This window comes from Homo sapiens, chromosome 7 (genome assembly GCF_000001405.40).
Source record: "Homo sapiens chromosome 7, GRCh38.p14 Primary Assembly".
Lineage (NCBI taxonomy): Eukaryota > Metazoa > Chordata > Mammalia > Primates > Hominidae > Homo > Homo sapiens.
The window spans coordinates 107200831-107220846 of record NC_000007.14 but is presented as its reverse complement, the minus strand read 5'-3'; the positions used below and the strand labels follow the sequence as shown (position 1 = coordinate 107220846).

At 40.1% G+C, this 20016-nt stretch overlaps 2 protein-coding genes and 1 long non-coding RNA gene across 16 annotated transcripts in view; 1 reads left to right on the top strand and 2 right to left on the bottom strand.

Moving 5' to 3' along the window:
- Positions 1–19475, top strand: part of COG5 (component of oligomeric golgi complex 5) — a 362549-nt gene extending 343074 nt beyond the window's left edge. For 7 of the 9 annotated variants that reach the window (NM_001379516.1, NM_001379515.1, NM_001379511.1 and 4 more), the window contains 3 exons: positions 9622–9748; positions 10242–10321; positions 17217–19475. In NM_001379516.1, the coding sequence (NP_001366445.1) occupies positions 9622–9748; positions 10242–10321; positions 17217–17331 (322 nt within the window). In that variant the 3' untranslated portion in view covers positions 17332–19475. Of the gene's footprint in view, positions 1–9621; positions 9749–10241; positions 14213–17216 lie in introns of those variants that run through there. The other 2 variants (NM_001161520.2, NM_001379513.1) reach the window with 2 other exon arrangements.
- LOC124901720 (uncharacterized) lies at positions 11184–17217 on the bottom strand. The gene is made up of 2 exons (XR_007060471.1): positions 16356–17217; positions 11184–15154 (listed from the first exon to the last, which is right to left on the bottom strand). It is a non-coding gene; the product is annotated as an uncharacterized LOC124901720 (long non-coding RNA).
- The window catches only part of HBP1 (HMG-box transcription factor 1), a 33520-nt gene continuing 31828 nt past the window's right edge, over positions 18325–20016 (bottom strand). For all 6 annotated transcript variants that reach the window (NM_001439013.1, NM_012257.4, NM_001439012.1 and 3 more), the window contains one exon: positions 18325–19433. In NM_001439013.1, coding sequence (NP_001425942.1) covers positions 19416–19433 — 18 coding nt within the window. In that variant the 3' untranslated portion in view covers positions 18325–19415. The remainder of the gene's footprint in view (positions 19434–20016) is intronic.

Sequence of the window (20016 nt, the reverse complement as noted above, 5' to 3'; positions counted from 1 at the left end):
GACTGCCTCAAAAAAAAAAAAAAAAAAAAAAGAAGGCATGAGTCCCGCTATCCTTTGCATCCCTCAAAGTCCCCTTTCAGGGCCTGGGCACACCAGACCTACAATATGAACTTGTGACCCGGTGGAGGGACTTCTTATTACACTTTTTCCCTGCAATAGCTCAAACACGAGAGCAGCCTCGTCACAATGAGCAGGTTAGAATCATGGGCTGGATTTGGAGTTTAGGGAGCTGTCTGGGAATGTCAGTTGCTCAGCATCCAGGGACCATAGGGCTGCAAGATATTTTAGCTTTTTCTGTTGGGGACAAATAGTAACCAGTCTATGGAGAGCAGAGCTGAGGCATAGCCTCGTCATCATTCCAACCCAGAGTCAGTTTCCAGAGGCCTTTAAGACAACACCACCCATTACCCCAGAGGAACTTAAGGTCACACCATGTGAAAATAATTCCGAAAGAGATTGTGATTATATGCTTCAAGTAGCTAAGTGACTAGAGGTCCATTTTGACCCAAAGATAGAATTTGGAGTACCCAGAGAGGTGATAATTGTGTGACCTTCAAATGATGATCCTGTACACATTAGTTTTCTCAGATAGGTTTTTCTGTACAAGTTGTTGACAGTTCAAAATTGTGCTTTCTCTAGAGGTCTTTGTTTCTGTATATACTGATTCTGTGAATCAGCATAGCTGTTCTAGAAATAGGATGAGTAGTTGCTACAGCTGATATTCTAAAAGAGGCTGCATTGCAGAATTAAGAGCCAGGCTGTCTGGGTTTGAATCCTTGCTTTGCCACTTCTAGCTTTTACTGGATTTCTCTATGCCTCTGTTTACCCATCTGTAAAATGGGGATGTAATAGTACCTAACTCATAGGATTTTTAGAAGAATAAATGAGTTAACATATATTTGTTTATTGTATACACTTATGGGGTACAAAGTGATATTATATGTGTACCGTGTGGGATGATTAATTCAAACTAAAACATCACCTCAAACACTTAGCATTTTTAATGATAAGAACATTTGAAATTTATTCTATTAGCAATTTTGAAATGTACTATGCATTCCTACCAACTATAGTCGTCATGTTGTGCAATAGATTTCAAAAACCATCTTCCTCCTGTCTAACTGTAACTTTGTACCCTTTAACTAAAACCTCCCCATTTCCTCCCCCCTTAGCCTCTGGTAACTACCATTCTGTTCTCTGCCTCTATGAGTTCTATTGTTTAAGATCCCACAAATAAGTGAGACCATGTGGTATTTGTGTTTCTGTGTCTGGTTTATTTAGCTTAACGTAATGTCCTCCAGGCTCATCCGTGTTGTCGAATGACAGGATTTGCTTCTTTTTGAAGGCTGAATAGTACTCTATTTTGTATATATGTCATATTTTCTTTATCTACTCATCCATTGATAGACACTTAGATTGATTCCATAACTTGGCTATCGTAAATAATGCTGCATTGAGCATGAAGTGCGCTATCTGTTCAACATGCCAATTTCAAGTCTTTAGGATATGTACTCAAGTGGGGTTGCTAAGTCATATTGTAATTCTATTTTTAGTTTTTTGAGGAACTGCCATACAGTTTTCCAAAATGGTTGTATTAATTTACATTCCCACCAACAGTGTACAAGGGTTCCCTTTTCCCCCACACTCTCACCACAATCTTTCATTTTTTTAAATAATAGTCATTCTGACAGGCATGAGGTGATATCTCATTGTGGTTTTAATTTGCATTTTCCTTATGATTAGTGATGTTGAGCATTTTTTCATATATCTGTTGGTCATTTATATGACTTTTTTTGAGAAACATCTATTCAGGTTTTTTGCACATTTTTAAATTGGGTAGTTTTCTTGCCATTTTTGTGTTCCGTATAGATTTTGAATGTTAGCTTCTTATCAGATGTATGGCTTTCTTCTAATCTATTAGTTGTCTTTTTATTCTCATTATTTCTTTTGCTGTGCAGAAGCTTTTTACTTTAATGTAATCCCATTTGTCTATTTTTTCTTTTATTGTCTCAGCTTTTGGGATCAAATCCAAAAAGTTACCTCCCAGACCAGTGTCATGGAAGTTTCCCCCTATGTTTTCTTTCTTCTAGTTTTTTTTACAGTTTCAAGTCCTTTCAAGACCACACCTTGACTTTTATCCGTTTTTGAATTGATTTTTTATATGGTATGACCTAAGGGTCCAAATTATTCTTCTTTAGATGGATATCCAGTTGTCCCAACACCCTTTATTGGAGAGGCTGTCCTTTTCCCATTGTGTTTTCTTGGCACCTTTGTTGAAAATCAATTGACTGTAAATGTGTGGGTTCATTTATGGGCTCTATGTTCTGTTCTATTTCTTAGTGTTTCTATTTATATGCCAGTACCATGCTATTCTAATTACTATATAGCTCTGTAATATAGTTTAAAATTAGGTAGTGATACCTCCAGCTTTGTTATTTTTACTTATGATTGCCTTAGCTAATCAGGGATTTTTATGGTTCCATATGAATTTTAGGATTATGTTTTCTATTTCTGGGGAAAAAGACATTGGAATTTTCATAGGGATTGCATTGAATCTGAAGATTGGTTTGGATAGTATGGACATTTTAACAATATTAATTCTTCAAGTCCGTGAACACAGAATAGCTTTCCATTTATTTTTTTGTCAATTTATTTCATCAATGTTTTACGGTTTTTAGTGTACAAATCTTTCACTTCCATGGTTAAATTTATTCCTAAGTACATTTATTCCTAAGTATTTTACATTCTTGTAGCTATTATATGTAGGTATTTTCTTGATTTCCTTTTCAGATCATTCATTGTTATTGATTAGATTTGTCTTAATTTTGTATCCTGGGACCTTATTCCTTTATTAGTTCTGTCTTTTGGTGGTATCTTTTTGGTTTTGGATATGTAAGATAATGTCATATGCAAGCAGGTAATATTTCATGTCTTTCTTTTCTATTTGAGTGCCTTTTCTTTCTTTCTCTTGCCTAATTGCTCTGACAAAGACCTCCAGTAGGATTATGAATAAAAGTGCTTGCTGACAGTGGACATCTTTGTCTTGTTCCTGATCTTAGAGGAAAAGCTTTCAACTTTTCACCATTGAGTATAATGTTAGCTGTAGGCTTATCGTATGTGGCCGTTAATTTGTTGAGAGTTTTTATTATAAAAGGGTGTTGAATTTTGTCAAATGCTTTTTCCGCATCTAATAAAATGATCATATGGTTTTTGTCTTTTGTTCTGCTGATACGATGCATCACATTTATTGATGTATATATGTTGACACATCCTTGCATTTCTCCCAGGGAGAAATCTCATTTGATCATTGTGAATAATCCTCTTAATGTGCCGTAGAATTGGATTTGTTAGTAGTTTGTTGAGGATTTTGTATCTTCATATCTATGTTCATCAAGGATATTGCCCTGTAAGTTTCTTCTATGTCATTTTGTGGCTTTAGTATCAGGGCCTCCTAAAACTAGCTTGGAAGTATTCCTTCCTTTTTGATTTTTTTGGACAAGTTTGAGAAGGATTGGTATTAGCTCTTCTTTAAACCTTTTATAGAATTCACCTGTGGAGCCATCAGGTCCTGGGCTTTTCTTTGATTGGAGACTTTTTATTATGGATCCAATCTCTTTACTCATTATTGGTCTGCTCAGATTCTCTGTTTGTTCTATTTCTGTTTTCTATTTCTTCTTGATTCAGTGTTAGTAGATTATATGTGTCTAGGAATTTTATCCATTTTTTTCTAGTTTACTGGATTTGTGGCCATATGATTTGTCATAGTAATCGCTCATTATCCTTTGTATTTCAGTGGTACCAGTTGTAATATCTTCTCTTTCATTTCCAATTTGATTTAAGTCTTCTCTTTTTCTTTTTTAGTCTAGTTAAGGGTTTGTCAATCTTGTTTAACTTTTCAAAAAACTCTTTGTTTTGTTGATTTTTTCCCCTGGTTTTCTAGTCTGTATTTATTTCTGCTCTGATCTTTGAATTGTTTTCCTTCTGCTAACTTTGGGCTTAAATTTGTTCTTCTCTTGTAGTTTCTTGAGTAGGTTCTTTATTTGAGATGTTTATTTTTATTTAAGTATTTGTTGCTATAAATTTCCTTCTTAGAACTGCTTTTGCTGTATCCCATACGTTTTGGTATATTGCATTTCCATTTTCATTTGTTCCAAGATGTTTTTTGATTTCTCTTTTGTTTTCTCCTTTGACCCATTGGTTGTTGAGGGGCATGTTGTTTAATTTCCACATATTTGTGGCATTTCAAAGATTTTTCCTATTATTGATGTCTAGTTTCATACCATTCTGATTAGAAAAGATACTTGATATGATTTCATTTCTCCTAAATTTGTTCAAACTTGGTTTGCGACCTAACATATGACATATCCTGAAGCAAGATACGTGTGCACTTGAGAAGACGTCTGTTCCCTTGCTGTTGGATAGAATATGCTGTATATGTCTGTTGGGTCCATTTGGTCTAAAATGTAGTTCAAGTTCATTGTTTCCTTATTAACTTTCTATCTGGATGATCTGCCGTTGTTGAAAGTGAGGTATTGAAGTCCCCTACAATTACTGCATTGTAAGTTATTTCTGTCTTTAAATTATTTAATATTTGCTTTACATATTTAGGTGCTCTGATGTTGGGTACAGATATATTTACAGTTGTTATATCCTCTTGATGAATTGACACCTTTATCATGATGACTTTCTTTGCCTTTTTTTATTGCTTTGAGCTTAAGTCTATTTTGTCTGATAAAGGGATAGCTAGTCCTGCCTCTCTCAGTTTCCATTTGCATGGAATATCTTTCTTCATACTTTCACTTTTATTCTTTGTGTCCTTAGAAATGAGTTGAGTCTCGGGCCAGGCGCAGTGGCTCATGCCTGTAATCCCAGCACTTTGGGAGGCCGAGGTGGGTGGATCACAAGGTCAGGAGATCGAGACCATCCTGGCTAACACGGTGAAACCCCATCTCTACTAAAAATATAAAAAATTAGCCAGGTGTGGTGGCAGGCGCCTCTAGTCCCAGCTACTCCGTAGGCTGAGGCAGGGGAATGGCGTGAACCCAGGAGGCAGAGCTTGCAGTGAACCAAGGCATTCCAGCCTGGGCTACAAAGCAAGACTCCGTCTCAAAAAAAAAAAAGAAGTGAGTTGACTCTTTTGTAGGCAGCACATAGCTGGGTTTGTTTGTTTGTTTGTTTGTTTGAGACGGAGTCTCACTCTGTCACCCAGGCTGTAAGTGCTGTGGTACAATCTTGGCTCACTGCAAACTCTGCCTCCCGGGTTCACGCCATTCTCCTGCCTCAGCCTCCCGAGTAGCTGGGACTACAGGTGCCCGCCACCACACCCAGCTAATTTTTTGTATTTTTAGTAGAGATGGGGTTTCCCCATTCACAGCATGGTCTCGATCTCCTGACCTTGTGATCCACCCACCACGGCCTCCCAAAGTGCTGGGATTACAGGCGTGAGCCACCACACCCAGCCAGCTGGGTCTTATTTTTTATACATTCAGCCATTTTTTCTTTTACAAATGGAGATTTTATTGCTCTTAAAATAATTATTGATAGGTAAGGACTCAATAATACTAGTTTGTAGTTTGTTCTCTGATTGTTTTGTGGATGCTTTGTTTCCTTGTTCCTCTCTTGCTGTCCTCCTTTGTGGTCTGATTGTTTTCTGTAGTGGTATGCTTTGAATTCTTTCTATGTATGTTTTGTGCCTCTACTCTAGATTGTTGTTTTGTACTTACCATGAGGCTTCCAAAAACCATATACTCATAACAGGGTATTTCAAGCTGATAACACTGAATTTTGATAACATACAACAACTCTACATTTTTATTCCCCTTCCCTACACATTTTAATATTTTGATGTCAAAATATACATCATTTTGTAATTTGTATCCCTAATTTGGGCTATACTTTTGTTTTCTTTTTTCTTTTTTTTTTTTTTGAGACAGAGTCTCGCTCTATCACCCAGGCTGGGGTGCATTGGTGCCATCTTGGCTCACTACAACCACCACCTCCCCGTTCAAGCGATTCTCATGATTCAGCCTCCTAAGTAGCTGGGACCACAGGTGTACACCACCATGCCTGGCTAATTTTTGTACTTTTGGTAAAGACAGGGTTTTGCCATGTTGACCAGGCTGGTCTGGAACTTCTGGCCCAAAGTGATCCGCCCACCTCAGCCTTTGAAAGTACTGGGATTATAGGCATGAGTCACTGTGCCTGGCCTTGAGCTCTAATTTTAATAGTTTTTAACCTTGTATTAGAGATAAAATTATTTTACAGACCACTATTACACTTCTAGGTTTTTCTGAGTATGACTCTATATTATTTATAGCATTGATTTTTGTGTTTTCATATATTTTATTAAATTAGCAGCCTTTTATATCAGCTTAGAGAACTCCATTTAGCAATTTCAATAGGCAGGCCTACTGCTGATGAACTCCATTAGCTGTTGCTTGGGAAAGTTTTTATTTCTTTCTCATTTCTGAAGGATAGCTTTTTTGGTTGGCAGCACTTTAAATATATCATCTCATTTTATGCTGCCCTGCAGGGTTTTTGCTGAGAATCCTCTAGTAGCCATATTGCAAGTTCTTTGTATGTAACAAGTTTCTTATTTCTTGCTGCTCTCAATTTTTTTGTCTTTTATTTTTGACAGTTTATTATGTGTCTTGGTGAACTCCTCTTTGGGTTGAATTTTTAGTACAAGTCTACAGTTAAAACTTGCTATTTAATTTTTCAGTTCAGTTGTTGTTGTCTCCATTTCCAGGATTTCTATTTGGTTTTTGTTATAGTTTCTGTTTTTCTGTCAGATTTCTCATTTTGTTCATATATTGTGTTCCAGATTTCATTTAACTTTTTATTTTTATATTCTTGTAGTTTCCTGAACTTCCTTAAGAGGATTGTTGTGTATTTTTTGTTGGTCATTCCATAGATGACCGTCTCTTTAGGGTCCATTATTAGAGCTTTATTAATTTCTTTTGGTGGTGTCACTATTCCGCTAGTTCTTCATAATCTTCATGTCCTTGTATTGATGTCTGTGCATTTGAGGAGACAGCCACCTCTTCCATCCTTTAGAGGTGTTCTTTAGCATAGATTTAACTTCATTATTTACTTTAGCCTGTGATTCTGGATGAGCCAGCTGATATCAACCCCAGGGAGGCAGAGCTTGCTGTCAGTTTCTCTAGTTGGCTGGGTCTCTGCCTTTGCTCTGAGTTTGGATGCGGCTGCTGGCTGAGCTTCACCTTCCAGCAAGACTACTGGCTGGCCACTGCAATCAGGCGGAGCTGCTGGCTGGGAACTGTGATTGCTTCTAATATCTGGCAGCGTCACAAAGTGTATTTCCCTGTTGGGGAGTATTGCTATTTGGGTTATGCAGTTGGGTAGGTCGGCAGGCTGGGCTCTAGGTTTAGATGGATCACTGTTCTAGACAAGTCCAGAGGTTATGCTCCATAGTCCTTGCCTGGGCTGGACCATGGGATGGGCTCTGACACTAGGTGGAGCCACTGTTTGGCGCTGCTGTTTGGATTTCAGGGTTTGGGCAAGTCTAGCCACTGTTCTCTTCAAAAAATGCACTGTGGTGGGCATCTCTTTTCCTGGGTAGGGCCTTGGGGTGGGCTCTGAGGCTGGGCATAGAGGCTAGTTTTCTAGGGACTCAAGCCAGGTTGAACTTCTTGTTCAGCTTCTGGGAGCAGCCGACTCAGCTTTGTAGGTAGGGTAGATCATTAGCTGATCTCTCTGATCAGGTGCCGCTGCTGGCAGCAACACAGAGCTACCACCCAGATCTGCACACCAGTCACTGCAAACTCCACCTTCTTGATTTGTTTGACACCAGGGGATCTTGCCCTGCAGTTACTCCAGTATTCCCTTTGAGGCAAGACAGTCATGGGCTTCCTTCAAAGCAACTCAGAATGCTAGGGAAGCTAGATCTCTACTTTCAGTTCTCTTTTCCTCTGTAGAAAACGTGGGCTTAGGAGAATCCCCCCTGTGGCTCTGTGCTGACTTGGAGGAGTGGGAGGAGTGATATGGTCAAGGTGAAACCATGCCTCTTACTCTTCTAATGCAGTTTTTATATGGTTCTGTGTTCCATGTAGGTGTTTTCATTCTCATTCCCAAGTTTTAGTGTCTTCACAAAGATGTTCTTGTCTGTGGATAATTGTTAGTTGGATTTTCTGTGGGTGGGCAATGAAGCCGGGAAGTTCTTCTTCTACCATCTTGCTGACTTCACCCTCTATAAAGCTTTAAACTGTGCCTGACACACTGTAGGTGCTATCCTGTTGATAATGAGAATTATGTTAAAACTAGGAGCTTTTACCTAGATGAAGACAATGTCATCCATACAGAGGACTTACAGAGATGCCTACAAACAAATCTGAAATATTCTCAGCAAAGTTTTCATATTTGTTTAGATACTTGAATTATCACCTAAAGCTCTGCAGCATTGAACACTGTGAAATTATTTGGACCTTGCAGATTTTCAAGGCAGGTGCATCACATTTTCAGTGTGGCCATAAGACCTTAGTCGTCTTCTCATGGAATGTCTGGTTTGGAGCTTTATGGCTTTCTGGTGATAGACAACATAAATGACTGAAATGCTTCCCCAGTAGCTAGGGAAAATAAATTACAACATAATGTTATTTGATAAAGATAGATTTTTACTTGTAGAATAGTTAATATAAAGCCATCTTTACTAATAATAATTCTGTATCTAATGAGAACCAGCTATCTATTGAGAACATTCTTGACTCTTGACCTTATCATTAGTATAGGGAAGAAGTTCGCTTCTCTATTTTGTACAGGCCTTCATTCATAATTAGAGTAATTAAGTTGGGGTAAAGAAAGACCCCAGGATACAGTGCCGTTTTACATGGTTCAGAATCATTATCTCATCTGTCAAGAGATGTTGCTGCCATCTTACTACTTGGGATTCAATGTCCACAGCTCCGCTTCTAATCAGCTCTCATCCATAAGAGCTCAAAGCCAATAACAGTTCAAATAATTCTTGCCAGCCTTTTGCACCAGGTGGTATATAATTTGTAGTGGAATGGATTTGCCTGCTTGCTCCTTCTGTAAAATGTGGACAATGAAACCCATACATGTAATATAGTATAAGGGAGCTAGCATAAATTTTTGATGGAGTGTTCAGCAAAGTAATAACTTTGTATATACAAAGACATATTTGCCTTTTTGAAAAGTTGTGTAGAAAATGTTTGCATATACCACATTTGATTATGGTCCAAAGAAGGATTCTATTTTAAATAAAAGCTGAAAGGATTGATGAAGATAAGAATCTGTTAATAACAACTACTTGAAGGCTTTACTCTTGTTCTTTATCTGCTTTTAGCCTTGTAATTAGATGAACTTTATAAGGAGCTTTTGCTGAGTCCGGTGGATGTCAGACTCATAGACCAATGAACCGGGGGTCAAATGGGAGCTGAAGGGTAGATCAGCCTGTGAGCACGTGGGCATGTGGGGGTAGAGGCTTGTGGGCGTCTCAAGGCTGAATAGAGTGGTTAAGCAGTGGAGGGCTCCTTCAGTAGCCAATCTAGGAAAAATGCTATTCTACAAGGAGAATGATTCTCCCACCAAATCACCTATTTCAGTATTGAACAGTGTGAAATAACTTCTGTTTTTCCCGTCTAGACCTCTGCTCTTCCAGGCAAGTGAACATGTAGCCAGTAGTCCTGCATTGGGGGATGTGATTCCGTTCAGCATCATTATTCAGTTTTTGTTCACGAGAGCACCCGCTGAACTGAAATCTCCTTTCCAGGTAATAAATAAAGTCAAGCCAGAACCCTTTTGTGACTCTTCCCATTACCTGTGTGAATCCTGAGCCCCTACTCACTGAATGATTCCTGGCCCTCTGCTGCTTTGTTTAGTTGCTTATGTCTATCTTTGACAGTGAATAGATATTAGAAAAGGAAAACTCCCACTGCTCAGTGTCTTCTTTCTCAGCAGTGCAAAAAATTACCTGATGCATCCAGAATTTACCTTTAATAATGATACAAGTAATTTGTGTTCATAAAGAATTTTTGATGGCAGCCCCATTTTCTTTGCTGACCCACCATCAATTGGCAAATCTAGAAGGCTCCTTGGTAGTCAGGAAGGTGCACCAAGGCCTATGCCCCCTTCACACTTCCCTTGGACAGGTTTTGGGGCAGTTTCACCTTGGGAATACTTGAGAGTGCTTTTCGAACCAGCACTTGCTGCCATTTACTAAAGAATGCGTATGCACTCTCTCTAATTGTGTTTCAACCCTGCAGAGGGCAGAGTGGTCCCACACACGCTTCTCTCAGTGGCTGGATGACCATCCATCTGAAAAGGACAGGCTCCTCCTCATCAGGTAAAGCCAGGTGCTCTGGGGGCACCCATCTGGTCTGGAAGCCCAAGGAGGGTGGGGATGCAAGAGAGGATGAAGGAGCAGTGCCTGGGGGCATGGACATGTGACTGCACCTTCCAGTGGCGGGCCACCTCACTGCCTAGGCACGGGTGCTGGAGCAACCAGCAGTTGGAAATGTTGGCCACAACATCTTTTGCTTTCTTTCATTCCAAACCTTCATATCCCTGATGTGCAATCCTGTGTCCCATGCAACCCTAAGGACCATGCATTTGTACCTTTGAAAATCATCATTTGCTATGAAAAGTTTTGCCCTAGCTCCGCATCTTTTACTTCATTTTTATGTGCTGCAGTTACTGAATTGGTGGAACACAGATGTGAGTGAATTTTTAAAAATACCCAAGTGCGAAACAGTTCTGAGGAGGAAACAAGAACAACCCAGCAGCCACTTGGATACCATGGCCCTCCAGTAGTGCCCCATGAATGCATTCACATACATACGCATGTGCTCTTGCCCACACGTGCACACACCCCCATGTACCCCAACCATGCCCAGGGTGGGGTGCTTTAACTGTCATACATGGCTTATTAAGCAACACTCTTCCCTGCAACTGCTCTCACCATCACCAGAGACCTCTCAGCCACCAAACATTCCCATTTTTACCTTACCACTCTGTAGCTTTAGCTACAGTTGACCGCCATTTCCTTCTGTAAACTCATAAACTGGGACTCAGCACATTTTTATTGATGCTGAGCTCACATTTTATCAGCATGGTAGGCCCTGGGCCAGGAACCGAGGATACGAAGTAAGCCGAGATATGGCCCTGTCCTCTCAGAGCTTGCATTACACCACAGCCATCTGTTTCTGTTCTAACTTCTCTGGCCATTTTTTTTTGTGTGTCATTTGCTGAATTATCTTCTTCTAGCCATTCCTTAAATGCTATCATTTCCCATATTTTCTTCTTCTCATCCTGCCTCTGCCTTGGTTCCCAGGTGAGCTTGTCCAGACCCATGCCTCTAGTGCCCCTTCTATACTTAAGAGCCCTCAGGTCTGTGACTGCCTCTGGATGGGGCCTTGGCCCAGTAAACTTGCTATCATATGTCACCACCCACAGAAATCTCAACCCCAGAATGGTCAAAATAATTCTAATCTTTTCTCTCAAACCTTCTCATTCTCTTATACTCCCTGTCTTGGTTGGGAGGTCACAATCACCTAACTAGCCAAGCCGGAAAACCTTTACATCATCATTCAACTCCTCTGTCATCCTTATTCCTCAAACCCACTCTGTTGCGTCTCTAAAATAGCTCTTGAAGTCATTCTCAACTCTCCCAGGGGATCCCAATTCTGTTGGTCTGGGCCCACTGCACCCAGTGATCCTTTGTTAGCCTGTGTCAGGTGATGAGTTGAGTTCCCTAAAGCCAGAGTGGGGCTGACATGATGAGGTGGTTCTAAACCACATGTGCACACAAGAATCATTTACATAGCTTGGAAAATTCCTAGTGCCCAGGTCTCTCACCCTTGCCTACCTCAGAATCTCCAGGGTAGGCCTGCTATCAGGATTTCTCTATAGCTCCCCAAGAAGGTCCAGGGTGCAGCCAAGGGCGTGAACCCCTGCCATAGTGGGTCATATTTCAGTTAGGATGAAAGACTGCTGAGGAAGCTATGACAGGTCAGTAAGAACCATCAGCCTGTCAGCTTTGTTTCCAGAAGTGACCCTGAGCCCTCAAGCTTGGTACCCACATCCCACATGAGCCACTGGCCCTCTGGGCGTATGTGTGGATAAAGATTAGCTCGGACCCTGCTCTTTTTCCTTGCTTATCTGTTACTCAGCTATGAACATCTGACACAGAAATGGGAGAGGTTACCAGCCCCGGTGAATGTTCCTGGTAAAATCTGCCCTCGGGAAAGGCTTTGGATTTGGGTGAGGAGTTTGGGCCTGGGCTAACACAGGGATTTGCAATGTCTGTGTGGATTATTTTTCCCGAGTCCCAAAGATTCACTCAGCTGCAACACACTCAGTCGTCTTAAAAAGAGGATTCAGTTAATTGAACACGTTCATTTTTCTCATCTTAACAAGTTGGTCATTTTTGTCGTCTTAACAAGTTGGAATGAGTTCATCCAAAACAGTTGTCCTGCTGTGTGTACATCACAAATCTGTTTTCTTTTGCTTCTCTTTAAAAATGTCTCCTGAGTGATTTCATCAGCAGTGCTGTTGCTAAGCCTATATTTAGCAACTGAAAATCATGCTCAGAAATACTGTCATGCTTTTTTAAAAAGGCATATCCATCCCTCCACACATGGCTGATTCCAGAACCTTCATGCCCTTAGCAAAAAATTGAGCTGTCCTTCAGGGTTTCAAAAAAAGTACTGTACTCCTGCTGCACCCCAGGCTCTTGGCAAGGAGGGGACTTTTGTCCTAGAGAATGTTCTTTCTTATGTATTATTGCAAAACAATTTTGTTCTTGCATACTGAAGCATCACTGGATGAATTTCTTTCCCCTGTAGACAAACCGAGGGTGAGTATTGCTCTTTAAATGTCAGTAAATTTGTTTTAGCTTCTGGGGCAAACCTTGTTGTATACTCATTCTGTTCCTCCCAGCATAATATGTTAGGTTGTCATAAAATAGGGCAAATTGAGGATAGTGTAACTACTGCTGCTGAATAAATGGGAAATAGTGAACCATCCTGCCTTCCTGTTTTCTTCTGACACCAGATGCTTTCTGGAGCTTAAATGAATACTAGTCAAGTTCATTTGAAAATCAGAGTAATAACTTACTCATGGGACCAAGTGGTGTAAATGGGGGCAGTTGTATGTGTTCAGCCTGCATCAGGCAGGTGCTCCAGACACGTGTGCTCCCTCAGATGCAGAGGCAGCCGCCTGGCTCGTGCCTGTGGGTAAGTGTTGAATGTGTTTTCAATAAAGATAGAGTCTTTGATGGAAAGATTTCTCAAGCTCTGTAACAGCGGTGGGGTTGGCCTCAAATCCATTTACTCTGGATATTTGCCGTGGAGAGCAACTCTTCTTCTTATGGCCCTCTTTGAGTAGGAGTACACAAATGTTCACAGACCTTATTAGCCTAGTGGTACTTTTATCTACACCATCAGAGAATGCTTGGTGCCATGTGCATCCTTGGATCCCTTGCCCTCTTGCCATGGTCCAGGGTCCACAATCTGGAAGCCATTCCCTCAGCTCCTCTGTACTTCTGCAGAACTCCCAAGATCTCCATCGATGGAGGGAAATGTTTCTCCTCCTGGTACCATGTCACTAGCTACCTATCAGTTCTGTGAATGGAGTGTCTGAAATAGGACGAAGAGGGAGGATGGAACCAGGGAAAAGCCTGGGCTTAACTGCTTATTGAGGCATGTAGTGTATCTTTAAGTCATTTATGCATTTCAGTACTTACTAATCACATTGAATATTTAAATGCCTGACAAAAATCAATGTTGTTTTCCATGAAAACTTCCACTTGGCTAGTTTTTGTCATGTTGAGCAGTGTTGCCATGTTACCACAAACCATTCCTCTACTAATCGTGTTTTTTTTCTCAATAAGGATAACCTCAATAATCTACTTATTTTGGTTACAAACCAGAGTTAAGACTAACTGTTACATAACACTTGGCCTGACTTCCAAGAAAGCTAATGTTTTGCTTAAGCAAATGAAGTAATTTAATAAGTACTCGAAAATCTTGCTCTAATTTCATGTGGGAGGGCAGCTTAATCTTTTTTGCCCCATACTTCTGATGGTGTTTTTGATGACTACCCAAAAATCTAACCAAACTCATTTCTGATCTCTTCTACATGTTGTGTAACTTACGTGATGTCTTATCCTTTTAAATGCCAACGAAACTAAGTTGATTTTTGTCCATCAAATATATCTAATCCATTCACTATGAAATGATTGTAGTTCCTGTGAATTTAAACACTTCTTATACGCTGATACATACACCTTGGTGTCTTAAAGACAGATGAGCCCTTGGGGATTTCTTTACTGTATATGATTCTGTAGGGACTACATTTGGGGAGTGGAGACAATTTCCCAGGATGGCATACCAACTAGAAGCATATTACCAAAAGAAGCAAGTTTTTTTCATAGAAAAATATCTCCATTCAGGGTCAGCTCTGGTTTAACTAAGGCATCTCACAAAACATTGTTCTCTAAGAGCACTAAATTCCATCTTGCATGCCAGTTGAGAGTGGTATGTTAGCTGGGACTTGAAACTGGGTATGTGAGCTGAGTAATGGTATGAACTTACATGTTATTTAAAACAGCTACACTTCTTCTGGCTCACGCCTGTAATCCCAGCACTTTGGGAAGCCCAGGTGGGCGGATCACGAGGTCAAGAGATCGAGACCATCCTGGCCAACACGGTGAAACCCCGTCTCTACTAAAAATACAAAAAAATTAGCCGGGTGCAATGGCGGGCGCCTGTAGTCCCAGCTACTCGGGAGGCTGAGGCAGGAGAATGGCGTGAACCCAGGAGGCGGAGCTTGCAGTGAGCCAAGATTGCGGCACTGCACTCCAGCCTGGGCGACAGAGCAAGACTCCGTCTCAAAAAAATAAAAAAAAAAAAAAAACAGCTACACTTCTTCAGTAAGGGCTTGCCCATCCCCCTGCATACCTGATTTAAAGTACTCCTGCCCTGACCAGAGCATGGAGCCAGCCTTCAGGGATTCCAAAGTGCCGGATCCTACTAAGTCAAGGCTGTTGATACAGAGGTGAGATCGTTTCACAAACCTGTGTGACTCCAAGATGGTTTCCATTCTTTCCTGCTGCCTGGAGTTAAGAAAGGCTTTCCTTAAAAGGGAGCATTGAAGCCGAGTCCTAAGAGATAAAGAGCTGCGCAAGAAAGTAAGCAAGGAAGGGTATTCTAAGGATAAGGAAGATAATGTGCAAAGGGCTAAGAGAATGTGGCTCTTTAACTGAAACATTCAGTATGGCCAAAGATAAACAGGCCCTTTGGCACCCCCTACTTTGTTAGGCAGAGACAGCTTTATTTCATAGCAATGTATGAACAAACACCCTTGATCTTTCCCTAGGTGGGCAGCCAGGTTGGGCCATACAAATGGGGCAAATATGCTTTGCACATTACTTGGTAACACAAAAATGGAAACTAATGATTTGAGGGTCTTTTTAGGCCACATCAAGCTATCTAAAACCCAGCAGTAGCACAGAAAGGGCTGGGAGCAGCTTGATGATGAAGCTGGTATTCAGTTGGGTTGAGTCTAGGCACTGACCAGAGCATGGAACCAGCCTTCAGGAATTCCACAATGCTGGATCCTGCTAAGTCAAGGCTGTTGATACAGAAGTCAGACCTTTCCAGATTTCCTATAAAGAACAGGGCACGGCAAGTGCTGTAATACTTCAGGGGAAATCTCTTGCTATAATATGGAAGACTGACCAGAACAGGGGAGAAACAGCAGTAGGATGCTCACCACCTTAAGAGGCTACAGCAATCATTAGGGCACAAGATAGCAAGGGTTCAAAGTGAAGCGAAGGGGAGAGGAGGGACTGGATGTGGAAATGTGTGTAGCAAATTAATAGGATTTGGTAATTGTTTCGGTGTAGGAGGGGAAAAGAACTAAGAGACCTTAAGTTGATGGTGCCCTTTGTTGAAATAAGGGAAGGCGGGCAGAACGCTGCCCCAATTTTTTGACAAATGAGTTTGAGGCTACCTGGAAGCAAGTCAGATAAAACTGTCCAGAGGACAGGAAGAAGCAGAGATCAGGAGGGGGAGGTCGAGGGCTGGAACTTAAGAGATTTGAAATCCCTTTACGTATGACAGTGGCTTGTGGGATGAAGGGCACTACAAACTGATCAGTGATAGCCAGACTCTGGGGAAATGTTTTCCCCACAATTCAATGAAAAATCTTGAACAAACCCAATTAGATTAGTATTTTCAGTATTTGAGAGCAAAAGAAAACCACTTAAGTGCTATCGTATGTGAGCTGAGTAATGGTATTAACTTACATCTTTATACAAATGCTCCAATCTCAAACTGAAATTTTGAAGAAAATATGACAAAAATGTATTTGTGTACCTGGTACTTAAATAGACCAATAATTAAAAATTAATCTCGTAGCCATTCTTTTTAGCTCCACTTAAACAGACGATCTGGTTCAGGGACTGACGAACTTTTTCTGTAAAAGAAGGGCCAGATATATTTCAGACTTTGCAGGCCACATGGTCTCTGCCTCAACTATTCAACTCTGCCATTGTGTGAAAGCAGCCACAGACAATATATAAATGAACAAGCATCAGGCTAGATTCAGCCTGCAGGCAGTTTGCTAACCCCCAACCTAATCCATGAGATCATAATCATAAACAATGGAATGGTACATCCCCTTGATTAAATTCAGACTGCTTCCCGATCATGTATTTTGCCATTACAGCCCAAGAGCACTTATTCTAGTTGTTGGTTGTTCATAGTTCATCAAATAACAGGAATATAATGCATCTACTGGTGTTACCGAATGTGCCAAAGGGCCCCATCCCCTTGTACTCTTGAGCGTGCCTTTCAGAGGCGCAGGATGCCCCTCGTGAGCTCTGGGAGTAGGCACAAATGCCCATTCCGTTGCCGGTGTCTTCAGTAGGGAAGCAGGGAAAAGGGAAATTGAGAACATATTTACACAGCCAGAGGACTCCGAGTATATGACTAGACCACTAAGAACAATGCAGACTGAAAACATGGTTATAGTTTTTCACACTAAACGTAGTAACCGTAGTAACCATAGTAACACTACCAGTAACTGAGTGAAGGCTGTTGGTCACTTGGCTTGTGAAACCGAGCATTAACAGTTCCAGAAATGAGCTTACTAATAATTTTTATATATTGGTATCCCCTTAACTGTTTTATGTGATTTATCTAATATTTTGACATTGTTTTCATTTTGGTTTTCAGGGGAGCCCTGGAAGCTTATGTTCAATCAGTGAGAAGTAGAGAAGGCAAAGAATTTGCACCAGTTTATCCCATAATGGTTCAGCTGCTTCAAAAGGCTATGTCTGCTCTTCAGTAATGACATGAAATCTTTGTTCATCTCCACTTTGTGCTAACCCATTCATAGTTGGCAGTTAAACACATACTCCAAAAGACTGCTACTATCTACTATTTTAAGAATGTAATTGATTGTTCGGTATTTCCTATCGACGTTTATTTACCTCTTTAGCACTTATACTTTAGCATAAAAAATGTTGAGTTATCACCACCTTTCAATTCCATGGACCTGATTTTTCCAGAAAGATGTTTTCCTCTTTCAGATTTTTGTACAAGGCTAAAATGTCTTTCCCATCCATAACCAAGTCCTCCTATGGGTACATAAACCCAAAGTCCCCACTTCTTTTAAAGGGATATGATCAAGTTATAACATGTACCCTGCTTCCCCCAACCCTGCCTTCTTCACTAAATAAGCATGTAGCTCAGTGGTTTCCAAATTTGGCTGCACATTCATACCAATCACCAGGGGATTTTTTTAAAATCCTGATGCCCAACTTGCACTCCACATTAATTAACATGTCTAGGAGTGGGAGCCTGACAGACACCACTATTAAAAAAAAAAAAAATCCCCAAAATGATTCCAATAGACAACAAAGTTGAGGAACCACTGGCACATCCCAAGCTAAGATACAAGGTTAAATGGCCTTTTTAAGTATGTCATACTGGATCTTTAAATAAAGCAAGGCTTTTGTTACACTTTGTCATGTTATTAAAAGCAGACCTTTGGGCTGTTTAACCGTGTAACAAAAATGCCACGTGAAAAATAAAAATTTTTATTGTATAGCAATTCTCTATAAATAGTAGATAATCTAAGTCCTTATTTTCTGATGGCTCTTGTTCCACTATTAACATTGTTTTTAATTTTTAAAATCCTATCAGCAGCCTCCTAATTAGCAGTGTTAGGAATTTGCCTTATGTTTTCCATCTCATCTCCTGAACCTGTTATTCTGAGAACTCATAAATAAAATTCAGCCAAGATTAATCAATCAATCAATCAATCAGTAGACGTCAGAGATAAGCAACTTTTTTTTCCATTTATTTGAAATAATATACAAGAATATAGTGTGCAAAATTTAGGGGCAACATCATGAAGAAGTGTGATGAACTGAAATCAATTTTACAGCTGTGATTCCTAACCAGAAACACCACTTGGTAAGTAACATGAAAAGCCATGATTGTAGCTCAGAGCAAAAGCAGCTGTATTGCCAATGTATTTGCTCTAATTTTAGACAGTTGGAGGAAAATTAAAGTGCAAGTGTTGCACTGCAGTAAGTGCAAAGTCTGCCCCCACCATAAAGATTATGATGACAAAATATATTTAAGATACATGGCTGAGGAGATACAGAACACGAAGTTAAAAAATACAATGGTGTTGACTGTTTGTTAATAGCACCATTACAGTGACTATATCCCAATGCTATTAACTAACTTTACCTTGGCCTGGGCTAGGTCTCCATTGGAAATAATAACGGATGGCTGCTGCCACCTGGTGCATCAACTCAGCATGCCATGGTAACTGCAGCAGGTGGCTCTTAGGCTGGGACACCAACACCAGCCACCTGCCCCATGTTCTGGTAGCCTCTTGGCACTGACCAGACTAGGAGCGCCTATGTTTGGCACAGATGCTGAGCCATGTGGTGGTTACTAGAGGAAAGGCCGACTCCCAGCTTCTGCTTCATTTCATCATGTGTACAATACAGATTAATAAGCAGTAAGGAGCCAATGTATAAACAGCAGTTACATATTTTTTAAATTCCCCTTTCGTACAATTTAAAATAAAACATGTATACACTTCTCCTCTCTTTCTACTGTACTTTAGCACCACAGGATATCAATTTTCAAGCCTATTATTACCTGATAGACATATATGAAGTTTGGAAGAAAAATAAGGCAATTTGGTTTAAAATGTTGATAGTTTTAGCTTAATGCTCTAATGGAGAAAGCAAATCCTCACTCATATTATTAAATCATTTCAAGACTCAATGCTATCAGTATCTTATGGTCACACGAATTGAGGACAAATGGTGAGACCTTGATCTTCTTAAGTCTTTCCATCAAGAGTCAATGTATATGCAAATATAGACTTAAGAACATAAGCATCCTGGTTTAATGTTGTTGTGAGCCCTGTGGAAATAAAATTAAACTCAGTGAATGTTTACAAATCAATACATAGTAATCCTATATATGAAAGCTAAGATGTATAAGATGTTTATAAATTTACTATTAGAAAATACTGCTTTCTTAAAGGTGATTTTAAAAAGCTAGCTGATATCTGATGGCTCAAGCATCCAGAAAATGTATGCAATGATAAGACATTGACTAGGATGAACAGAAAAGGGATACAGGAAAAGTCCGAACACATGAAATTCTAAATTAACCAAGAACTGCCAAAATTCAGTTCAGCCACCCTCTCATCTGACTACTGACTGACCACTATTTTTAAAGAAATTGTGAAAAATTTAAACAGATATGACCTGCATTTTACTAAGAAACAGGCACATGTACACAATGAATTTAAAACATCTTTGGCCAGCCCTCCTACTATAAAAATATTGATATCTTCCCTTCATCTTTCAATGATACTTCAAATTGACCCCACTATATCACATGTAATTTTTTTGCAATTAATCTAAAAACGCTGAACCTAAAAGATGCTAGTTTAGTAATGGAAAAGTTATAAGAAACAAGTCTATCCAAGATAGCTTAT